This window comes from Homo sapiens, chromosome 3 (assembly GCF_000001405.40).
Source record: "Homo sapiens chromosome 3, GRCh38.p14 Primary Assembly".
In the NCBI taxonomy this organism is placed as follows: Eukaryota; Metazoa; Chordata; class Mammalia; order Primates; family Hominidae; genus Homo; species Homo sapiens.
Window position 1 is genome coordinate 141520335 of NC_000003.12, and position 12201 is coordinate 141532535.

The 12201-nt window shown below is 35.5% G+C and overlaps 1 protein-coding gene, 1 long non-coding RNA gene and 1 pseudogene across 7 annotated transcripts in view; 2 read left to right on the plus strand and 1 right to left on the minus strand.

Moving 5' to 3' along the window:
• RASA2 (RAS p21 protein activator 2) overlaps nt 1–12201 on the plus strand; it is a 128318-nt gene that overhangs the window by 33308 nt on the left and 82809 nt on the right. For all 6 annotated transcript variants that reach the window (NM_001303245.3, NM_001303246.3, NM_006506.5 and 3 more), the window contains one exon: nt 9374–9468. In NM_001303245.3, coding sequence (NP_001290174.1) covers nt 9374–9468 — 95 coding nt within the window. The remainder of the gene's footprint in view (nt 1–9373; nt 9469–12201) is intronic.
• On the minus strand, nt 1939–2584 carry LOC124906292 (putative uncharacterized protein MSANTD5; annotated as a pseudogene).
• RASA2-IT1 (RASA2 intronic transcript 1) lies at nt 4799–5787 on the plus strand. The gene is made up of 2 exons (NR_046792.1): nt 4799–5022; nt 5400–5787. It is a non-coding gene; the product is annotated as an RASA2 intronic transcript 1 (long non-coding RNA).

A 12201-nucleotide genomic window follows, 5' to 3' on the forward strand; every position in this document is an offset into this window, starting at 1 on the left:
GGGATTGGCAGAAGCAGAGGGGGAAGAATGAATCATGTTTGTGGTGTACCTGCTGGAGGAGGGTGATAGAAGCTGAGGATATAAATTGGGACCAAACTGATGAACCCTAGAAACCATTCTTAATTCCAAAAGCTAAGGAACTTGGACTTTATTCTGTAGACAGTGGTTTTGAACCTTTTGAGAATGTATGTAACTATATATAACTGGAGTGTGTGTGTGTGTGTGTTATAATATACATGCATTTGTACTGCTAGAAACAGAAGAATCTGCATATTGTATTATATGATATACAGTTATATATAGTTACATACACATATATATATGCACACACATATATACACATACACTTATATACACAGATATATATACACACACAGTTATATACACACGCAGATATTATATATTCTAATTTAAATATGTAATCTATATACATCGAGTTTGTAGTACTGTTGTAGGCCATAAGAAGTTGTTGATTTGGAATAGGGAGCGGTTAGAGGCAGGAAGACCAACAGGTATGCTGTTTTCAAATGAAATGAGTTAGGGCAGTTGCAGTGGAAATACAGATGAGGGAATGTACTTCAGGGGTTTCAAATAGGGCATAGGGACCAAGATGAACAGGAGATGTGAAAAGGAGAAGAGTTTAAAATGGTCTTGTTTGTATGGCTGTCATTAAATTAGATAAAGAACACAGCAAGAACATTCACTTTTGAGTGAGAAGGGGAGAGGATGACTTTGGTTTCAAACAAGTTAAACTTAGTATTACCGGGGTACATCTTAGTGGACATGTTGGTTGACAGTTGGAAATATAGATCTGAAGCTTAGAGAAAAGAGCTAGAGATGTAGATTTGAGAGTTATTAGCATTAAGTGATAGGTGAAGCCTGTGTTGGAATGAACGAAATTACCTGGGAGTGGATAAGGAGGGTTTCAGGGAAGAAGAGACTTGAAGATAGATAAGGCATATCAGGAAGTAGAAAGAAAGATGGGAGAGATTAATGTCAGAGAAGATAAGGAAACCTTTTAATGTCAGCAACTAGAGAAAGGTGGAGTCAGATAAGGATTGATAGAGGCTATTGGTAGTTATTAATAACCTTTGAGAGAATGTATAACTTCGGCCATCATACCTTAAGAAAAATGTTTAGTAATTTTCGTCTCTTTACATGTTATAATCTTAAGGTAATATTTCTTGAAAAGGCCTTTAAGGCCTTTTAAATAGCAGCATAAAGTTGAGGTTTATGATTTCCAGAAGTTGCCTTTGTTTTTTGTTTATTTTGAAAGTAAAAATCAACTTTAGGTAAAATAATTTCTAGTAAAAATCAGTTGTTTAGGGAGTGGTGTCAGAAAGCTGTAACTGTTGGTGTGATAACTTTTTCTTAAATGTTTATTCTTTCTAAGGGATAAAATTTATACATTTAACAGAAAATTCTTTTTCCTTTTGCATATAGAGTTATTATTAAACACACTACATACCCTTTAAGGTTGGAAGTGGTTGATGGTTTTACTTATACATTTTTAACATTTTTCTAGTTCAGTATCATTTTCTTTTGTCATTAACACACAGGTTTTTTTTTTTTTTAATTTTGAGCTATTGGAAGTTGAGTTTTCTTAATTTATAATTTGGAGCCACTCAATTGTAGATTAAACACTGACACAGCATTTTCTGGAAATGAAATTTGAGCTAGAATTTAGAGAATCATCTTTTAAACTTAAGATCTTAGATTCAGTACAAGTTGAGCATAGATAGATTTTAGGGGTTTTTTATTTTTAATTACATGAGTAATGTATGGATTTTTTTTTTGTCATTCATTTATTTCACATTTATTCTCATTGTACCAGGCAAAGAGAGGAAGGAGTCATGCACCAACACACACAGATTGTGCTGTTTTTCAGTCTTTCTGATAGAATCAGGATCCAGATTCTAACTGTCTTCTAAATCTGGATCAGTCAGTAGAGATGGACCACTGTGGTGGAGGGCCCGGGGCTGCTGAGAGAAAGGCAGGATACATCTGTAGAACTGACCATGGCAGGTTCATGTTCCAGGGCTCCCATCTGGGTACCTGAGCATTTTCCATATAGATCACAGGTGTTGGGGCCCACATCGGCTCCTGAAAGTCTCCGGGAATGCCATAGGCGTGGGGCTGGTGCTCGGGAGGTGCAAGGTCAGCCACATCAGCACAGGGAGGACCTGAGAAGACGCTGATCTTCCATCTGTATCCCAGAATCCTGTGCAGGGCCTCTCCATAAGGACATTGCAAGGGGTGGCACCTTGGCCTCTGGTTGGCCTCATGAATAGTGAAGTATAAGTCCTGCAAGCTTATCAGCATCTGGAGACATTCCTGCCAGCTCTTCTTTATACCTCTGTGCTTGAGATGCGGGGCAACTGCTTTTGATACTGTGTGATACTTCTTCACCCCGTACACTTCACGCTCAAGAAATTCCCATTCTTGCAGGAAACTCTGGACTTCCTGGCTACTCCATGGTTTAATTAACTGGACTGAGGGCTTTTCTGGTCCCTGGACTGCTTTTTTTCTGCTTCATTTTCAGGATGTTTCTGGTAGTTTCAGTCTGAAGTATCACTTTCTCCATTTTTATTCCTGAGTTTTCTTCTGGGATGATTCTCACTGAGTCTGCAGGGCCTGTTCCTGGGTTGGCGGAACACTGGCACTTACTCTGCTCTAATGGAACCTAGGAGAGTCAGAAGGAGCCTGAGTGTGGAAATGTGTTTGCTTCTCTCTGCTTCTTATGTATGGATATTTTTATTTTTGTAAAAAAATTTTAAATTATGGCATAGATAATCCCATTTTTTTTTTTTTTGAGACGAAGACTTGCCCTGTTGTCCAGGCTGGAGTGCGTTGGCATGATCTCGGCTCACTGCAACCTCCGCCTCCTGGTTTTAAGCAATTCTGCCTCAGCCTCCTGAGTAGCTGGGATTACAAATACCCACCCCCACACCTGGCTAATTTTTATATTTTTAGTAGAGACGAGGTTTCGCCATTTGGCCAGGCTGGTCTCAAACTCTTATCCACCTGCCTTAGCCTCCCAAAGTGCTGGAATTGCAGGCGTGAGCCACCGTGCCCAGCCTAAATTACTTTTGACCACTGCCTCCTCCCAGTCCTCTTCCCAGAGGTAATAATTGTTATTAATTCGGGGCATAATTGTTTATATTAGGCATCTTTATATGCTAGGAACTGTTAGTACAAAATGAGAGAAAAAGAAAAACTTTAAGCATATATTTTTATTTCCAATGAGGATTCTAATAATATTGAAATTAAAACATAAATGTTTTACCTCCTATTATGTATTTTTTAGTTATTTTGTTATTCAAGAGCTCAAACAAGTAAACTATGACTATTTTTCTAGAGCTCAAACAAGTAAACTGACTATCTTAGTAGACTCTGGCAGTTCTCCCCGACCCCTCACTCCACCTTGGTTCAGAACCATATAGAAATGAAAGGATTTTACTAGAATGTCAGAGACCTGAATACCAGTCATGACTATGTCACTATCTATCTATGTGATCTTCATTGAGTCATTTTCTTAGGCCTGGTTCATCCATAAAATAAGATTGGGTTTAAAATTGCTAAGGTCTTTTCCAACACTTTGAATTGTAATTTCTGCTGACATTTAGCTTTTAAGCAAAATTTACTGTGTATAAATTGCTTATGGCTACACTTTGGTGTCTGTTTGCACAGGGACTATATCAGTTATCTACTGCTATGTAAGTACTCCAATACTTACTGGCTTAATACAGCAACCGTACATTTACTCATGATCCTATTGTTTGTCAGTTTGAGCTGAACCTAGCTGAGTGGCTCGGCTGGTCTCGCCTGGGGCTGATGTGCAGTTATCTGGGAGATTGGGGCTGGCTGGTCTGATTCATATGTCTGATGGTTGGTGCTGACTATTAGCTGGACCTTCCTCACCACATGGTCTCCTGATTGGTTCTAAGAAGGCAAGCCCTAATGCAAAGGTGTGTCACATTTGCTGATGTCCCATTGGTAAAAGCAAGTCACATAATCCAAGAGTCAGTGCTATAGGAGACCACACAATGGTGTAGATAACCAGGAGTTATGGAGGCCATTAATATACCAGTTTACCACAAAGACCAAAATATGTCTATCGAAACCTCGTACACTAAGGCTTCGAAGTGCTGCCATTGTCTCTAAATTGCTGCTGTTGACTGTTTGCCAGGATTTGTTCAGTCCTCTGGTCCTGTTTCATTTTTCTATAGACAGTAATATTTGTCACTGTTTTTGTTTGTTTGTTTTTTTGAGATGGAGTCTTGCTCTGTCGCCCAGGCTGGAGTGCAGTGGCGTGGCATGATTTCATCTTACTGCAACCTCTGCCTCCTGGGTTCAAGCAATTCTCTTGTCTCAGCCTCCCGAGTAGCTGGGACTACAGGCGCACACTGCCACGCTCGGCTAATTTTTTGTATTTTAGTAGAGATGGGGTTTCACCGTGTTGCCCAGGCTAGTCTCAAACTCCTGAGCTCAGGCAATCCACCCACCTCAGCCTCCCAAAGTGCTAGGATTACACGCGTGAGCCACCATGCCCGGCCTGTCACTGTTTTTATCTCCTCTTTTAGCCATTTCTGCTAGTGCTCAAGTAGGAACAGGACTATCAGGATTTTCCTAATTGGTGAATTGTATCAGGCTGAAATTTCTAAGAATATATTGTATCTAAAAATGGGTCCCAAGGGTAACACAGTATTTACTGATGGCAAGAAAATGCTGCTGAAAAATGGTATTAGAAAGCTAAAAATGCTTTTTTTTTATTTAAAGATCAACAAAGGTGGTTTCTGTGCCCACAGTTCCTTCATTTCCTTTTGTGTTTCCTTTCTTTGTCTGATTTTAAGGAACTAATACAGCATCTGGTGTGTATATGTTTGGTTTTAAGCTCTTTCTGTCTGTGAGTTTGTCAGGACAGTGAGGAAATGAAGTACTAACTTTAAATGATTTGTTGGGACGTTTGTTTCTTGTTGACTTTTTTTTTTTAAGAGTTGGGGGTCTCACTGTGTTGCCCAGGCTGGACTTGAACTCCTGGGCTCAAGCAGTCCTCCTGTCTCAGCTTCCCAGGTACCTGGAACTACAGGCATGCACCACTGCACCCAGATGTGTTTGATTTTTTTTGAAGTTGGTAACTTCATAGCTAGTGAAATAATGAATTAATTTTGTTTAAAATAGTAATCAACAACTGGCCACAGTGGCTCATGTCTATAACCCCAGCACTTTGGGAGGCCAAGGCAGTTGGACTGCTTAAGCTCAAAAGTTCAAGACCAGCCTCGGCAACATGGTGAAAACCCATCTCTACAAAAACTATAAAAAGTAGCCAACTGGGACCAACTGTAAAAATTACTTCTGGCTACTTGGGAGGCTGAAATGGGAGGATCACCTGAGCCCAGGAGATCGAGGCTGCAGTGAGCTGTAATCATGCCACTACACTCCATCCTGGGCAGCAGAGCAAGACTCTGTCTCAAAAAAAAAATTAAAAAAAATACATAAATAAAAGAAAATAGTAAACACTAAACTAAAACAATCTTTGGGACTATTAGAGGCACAAAAAGGGTTTTTAAGATCATTAAGTTAAAAGTCATTCTAATGCAGAGGAGGCACATCAGATGTAGAGTTTGAGTAATTCACCCGAGATTACACAGCTAATAAGTAACAGAATTGACACTAGGTTATGGAATTAGTGTTTGTGTTGGAAGGAGCACAAACAGGCATGCCTTGGTTTCAAAATCTGGCTGCAGCACCTGTTAGCGGCAAGTTTAAAAATATTGTTCAGCTTTCCTCATCTGTAAGATGGTGATTATACCCTCTACCTCCAAGATTGTTAGGAAAATTAAACAAGAAAATATATAAGAATGTCTCCTACCTGGTAGAGACTCAGTAAATGCTGGCTTTTCTTTCAGTTCAGTGCTCTTTCCACTGTGTCGGGCTGCCTACCTTTTACTGTTAATGCCTGCCAGTTTAGTGATTAAACAACAAATCAGAATCGTGAGGCTTTTTTTTTTATTCTATTTGTGTTTCAGAAACTTGTTCCTTCTTTCCCCATCCTCTCTTCTCCCTCTCCCGTACTTCCTTCTCATTTATCCTTCCACCTTTTTTCCTCCTTCATTCTTTGTCTGTCTTCTCCTCTCCCTCTTCCCTGTTTTATTCCCTTGGGCTGATGATGTATATTTCTTTTTATATGTTATATTGCCTAATAAAGTGCTGGACATGTTGTAGGTATCCTGCTACCTATTAACTTCAAATATTTTTCTTAATTTTCCTGTGCCATTCTTATATATCATTTTCTCTAACTTTGTGGAATCATGTACTCTTTCTTCTCTGTTTCTTCAGGCCAACTGGCCTCATGCAACTAGATCTTTACATATCAGAAACTGACATCTTAAAAAGGAGCTTAAGAATAAGAGCTGGCAATAAAATTACAGATTATTCTCAGCTCACAAATGACTTGTTTATGCAGCTAGTCAGAGAAGGGTTTCCCTCTCATAGGACAAGAAACATTCAACTCTTCAGTGACAGTGAATGTCATGATACTCATGATGCAGAATAGGAGGAAGAGGCTGCTTGCTTTAGAATATATTACCTGTGTGACTAAGAGAGGATTCTCTTTTGGGAAGGCACCTGTGACAGATGAGATGTATTTCCAGTGATCTGAGAGTAGTGAGTCATAAATAGGACAGGTAAATTTCTACTCTAGTTTTTAGCAGCATTGTTAGTTAAATAGAGTTTGGTTAGGGAAGCCTGGAAATCAAATCAGCATTTACAACACAATGCCATTGTGATTGTTGAATGAGGGAATGAATTTGTCAAACCAATAAACTCCTAAATAAACTTTGTAGGCAACCCTCTTTTAGAATTTGGGACTTGTTTTAGTGGTGTTTGTATGTATTATATGTATGTACATATGTACATCTATATACATATTCATAAATTGTGTACAAAACTAAAAATTATGGAAATTGTAAAGTAGAAATTTCACCAGAAGTCTACTGATTCGTTTCTGGATGGTAAGTAAACTCTCTTAAAATTTTGTGCCAGATATTATCTGTCCTTTTTCTGGGGAGAGGACATAAAAGATACACAGTTACAAAGATTCTTAAAGGGAGGATAATGGTTCTCAAAAGGTAAGAGCTTCAGCTATAGGATGTATAGATGTATTTCTGTATGTACATATATATTTTTTGAGTATCAAACTGTTATGCATTGCCTTAACATTTTATTTATGTCTGGTGTGGAATCTGTGGTAATTAGGACTACTTGATAGAATTATGGTAATCATTTGTGGTGTGCAATATTGAATACTTTGTCATAATTTTATATCTTAAGCCATTCCTGGTAATATATGGATTTGCCAGGAATTTGATACAATTCATAGATAAAACATATCCAGAGATTTGGATGATTTGTCTCTTAACCTAAATTCTTCCTGCAGTTTAAGGAACATTTGAGTATTCCAGTTAGTACCTGAATTTTATATTTGGCTTTTAATCTGTGTATTTAATACTATAAGAATTTCTGTTTTCCCATCATTTTTATCTTAAATTTAACCAAAAAAGAACTAAAATACATTATTTCCCTAGTGTCATTTTCCATGTGATTTGAATGAACTATAAATGCTGTATATTCACATAAAGATTTTGATCTTCAATTACATTTTATCCAAAGTATTCAAAAGAAAGTTGGGAAGATACGTATTTGTTATCAGGACCAATTTATTTTAAAATTTTATATGTTTTAACTTCATGTATTCATAGACATATAAAGATGAACTTTCAATAGGCCTCCTTCGATTGTATTTTTTTAATACAGTTACCACTCGTATTTTTTTAATACAGTTACAAACTCTTTAATAAAATACAGCTGTGTACTTTACTATTTTCTTTAAAATTAGATGTATCGATTGTCTTTACAGTTTGAATTCCAAGACATGAATGAGAAGCTTATCAAAAACTGTAATGTGGTTACATTCTAAAAATAACAGTTTTATTGAGATGTAATTCACATACCATTAATTCACCCTTTTAAGGTATACATTATATTTGCTTTTCAGTGGTTCAGAAAAAGAATCATTATATACGTTAGAGGGAGAGAAACATTATAAAAGTTAACAGTAGGGGAATGTGAGTAGAAAATATGGAAATTTTTAGTGTACGGTTCTTGTAACTTTTCTCTGTTTGAAATTATTTCAAAATACATCTTTTTTTCTTTTTTCCAGCACTAATGGCTTGGGTGAATTAAAATATTTTTTAAATTAAAAAAAGTGTATGGTGTGGTGGGGGCCTTAATATATTCACAGAGTTGTGTAACTGTCACCACTAATTCCAGAGTGAAATTTTAAGCATAGTTTGTGTTTGTTTTCCTGTTCCTTCCTTTTCACTTGATATACAAAAGTTGACGTATCTTGACAGAAAAATTTCTTTACAATTTTCTTAAAGTTTTCAAATGTTGAACTAAAAGACCAAGGTATATCATAAGTACAAGGAAATAAAGTAGAATTAGGGCGTATAAAATGAAAATTCTTACTTGACAAAAGAAAGTGAACTGCTTTTAACTTTATATATCCTTTGTTGAAACTTTTGTGTAGAATCCTGGAATAAATCATTAGTCTTATGCAAAACTGTGTCTACTTCTTAAAACTTGAATTGAGGAAGGAAATGCTTTGTACCAAGATGGCAAATATTTTATTATAAGAACATTTCTGTTTCTTCCTCTCATACTACTATGTTCATTGTACTGTATCTTCCTCTGAGAGGGTTTAAACTCTTTAGAGAACTGCCTTAATTTTTGTATGTATTGGAGCAACATAATCAGTGTTTGCAATGTTTTGATAAAAGTAAATTCTTAATAATAAAATTGTTATAATCTCCCATAATTTTCAAGTCAGTTTTCACTGTTGTTAATGATGTATGATATTGTTTTTCCTTTTCTCTTAATTGGAATTTATAAACTCTTACTAAATGCAGATACATCTGCTCAAAACTTGTCATTTGTTCTTAGGGTCAAAAAATTGGGAAGATTAGTTTGCACTACCATTGTACCTTGCTTTTTATAATGAGTGTACTCTGGGTAAAAACATGAATCTGAATAAGTACTAAAAAAATGCAGTTGCCTGTAATACAACTGAGGTTTTATCTAATCCCCTGATTCAAAATGACCCAGACAAATGTCTGCCAAGGGGCAAGGAGAAATGAGACACTTTTTCATTCTTTAGAATGTAGAAAAAATGCTTTATAAAAATGGATTTTTATGTCAATAGGTACAAATCATTTTAAAATATTTTCTATAAAGTATTATATAAAACAGTGCTAATGAGTCTTAGGATTATACGAAGCATGTTTTCTTATATTGTTTTACTTATTTTCTGTAGGAAAAGTAGCCATCAAAAAAGAAGACTTGTGTAATCACAGTGGCAAAGAAACTTGGTTTTCATTACAGCCTGTTGACTCCAATTCAGAGGTTCAGGTAAATATTAAGGCTTATGTAATACAAGAGATTGTCACAGGAAATGAGTAAAAAATGAACTAATTAAACTGGTTCATGTAAATAGAGCATATTATACCTTATTTTAAATTCTAGCATCAAATATTATAGACTTTTGGGTAATATAGGACAGGAAGGTAATGGCTTTGTCATATTGTTTCAAGAATAATGCTCATGTATATGCATATGTGTAGATTTGTGGAGATTAGGGCATTTCTTTCTTACCTTCTGTTTGAGTCACAATAGCAAATTATTATTTGTCTTTGAGGGGAAAAGTTTTAAGGGAAAATATGTGTTTTATTAACTCTGACTTTGGGGGAGAATCCCTGGAAGTCTGATTTTGTCTGTCTTGATTCTCTGTTTACTCTCTAGTAAACTGGACTTGGGGAAATGTTATTCATTTAAACCCTGCCTGAGCCCACTGTGCACAGCCTTCACTCCCACACCCACCCTTTCCTGTTGTTCACCTCGCTTTTTATTTGAAAGAGTATCATTACTCTTTAATCTTTTTCTTTTTTCCAAAATAAGAGACCTTTTTCAGATTCTGAGTAAAGATGTGTGTTTAGCCATGTAGCTGAAGTTTCTATTTGTTTTTAGAAAATCTGAGTTGCTCTTAGAAATTATTTTTCTAACTAAAGGGAATCTTTTTGCTGTAGCCTTATTTATTTATAAAATATGGTAAGGATTGTGAAACCATTTCCCGAGGGCATAATTGCAAGCAGGATTCTTCCTCTCCAAAAGAAGTTTTAATTTGCCACTGTGACTCAGAAGTTTAAGACAAGAAAAAAGTGCTACACCCACACCACAGATAATTTGCAAATAAGTGCCTGTGTCTCCATTTCCTCATAATCTCTCAAGCATTCTCTTTGATTAATTATTAAATTCTCAAAAAATTAAGTACTTATGCACTAACCCCCCTTCTTAACTGCAAAATTTAACATACTTTTCCTGTTTAACCTACTTTGCCATGTTTTAATATTCTTGTCTTTCCTTATGACCATAGCTATTATTCAGATCCCAGTTGTACAGTATTGTAAATGATCCATGTGAGAAGCAATGTGAAGAAGTGGAAAGTGTTTAAATTAAAAGGCAGAAAACTTAGGTCCTAGTTTTTATATGTAGTTACTTAAATGACATTGAATTTCATTTCTATAAAGTGGGAATAAAAGTTGCTGTGTTCGATTCATATGGTTGTGAGAATTAAGTGAAATATCTGTAAGAATAGTTTAAAAGCTGTTAATGCTATACAGATGTAAAATATTGTCTGTTTACCACCAGTCAGTCTGGTGGCTATTTCCCTAATATTCCTTTACCAAAAGGCAGATATGAAAGTTTTAAAGTACCAGTTTTTCTTTTAATAGTTTTAAGAAAAGGCATGATAGGAAAAGGCTTTGAAAATTTAAACTGAAATTTTATGAACCATTACATTTTATAAAACTCATAAATTTTGTGAATTTTATGTAAATTTGCTAAACAATTTAAGAGTTCCAGCTCTCAAAAGGTAAAAATCTATATAGAATATAGAATTCTTGTAGATGGTACTAAAGATTAATACAGAGACACAAGACTTTATTTGATGGTGTGTGTGTGTATATATATGTGTGTGTATATATATATGCATATGTGTATATATGCATATGTGTGTATATATATGCATATATATGTATATATATACACACACATTACATACACATGGGTATGCATATTTATAGATATACATATATATGCATATATGCATGTATATATACACATTTGAGAGATATATATCTCATCTATGAAACATGAAAATTGGGGAAGCAACAGTTACCCAGATATAATATAGTCATTTAAAAATTTTGTACAAGTTATTTTCATGACTGTGAGTTATTAAACTTTACAACTCTTTTGTCTTAAATGATACTTACTTAATAAGATTTGCTCACTATTTAAAACAGATTTTAGAAGGAAAAGTACTTTGTGGGGTGGAAGAGACATATAACACTTTTGGGTTAATATGGTACCATTGAAAATGTTGTTGTCCCACTGCTGATAAGGGAATACTAAATTATGAGTCTAGAAAAGATAGAAAATCATCCCATGGTTCATACAAATCCTACTTTGTTAATAAATTTGTTCACTTCCATAAACTTTATAAAATTTTACAAAAATACCATGAAACATAAGAGCAATTAATAGGGAAATAGGTGAAAGCTATGAAACAGATTGCGTTCAACAGGAACTCAGTCTGATAATTACTATTAGTAATTATACCAGTGTATCCTAAGCACAGTACTAAGTACTTAATGTCATTTAACTTTCAAAGTAGCATTATGAGGTAAATAGCATCACCTGCATTTTACAAATAAGGCAAATGAAATTCAGAGGTTAAATGTCTTCTCCAGAGTCACAGAACTACTAAGTAGTGGAGCCTTGATTCCAAAAGAGATCTGTCTGATTCTAAAACTCCTAACCACAGTGCCTTTACTACCTTTCACCATTCTGTACTATTAGTCATTAAAAAAAATAGATTAGGAGTATCACTTAAGTAACATCTGAGTGTAAGGAAGAGAAGCCTGCTCAGATTTGCTCAAAGAAAATGGGAGAGGCCATTGGAAAGCTCCTAAAGAGTTTCTTGGAATGTCATCATAGGAACTTTACATTGCCAGTGTGAGCTAGAAAGTTGTCAGGCATTTGCAGAGGAGATGCATCTTAAGTGGAGGCTAGATTCTTAGAACA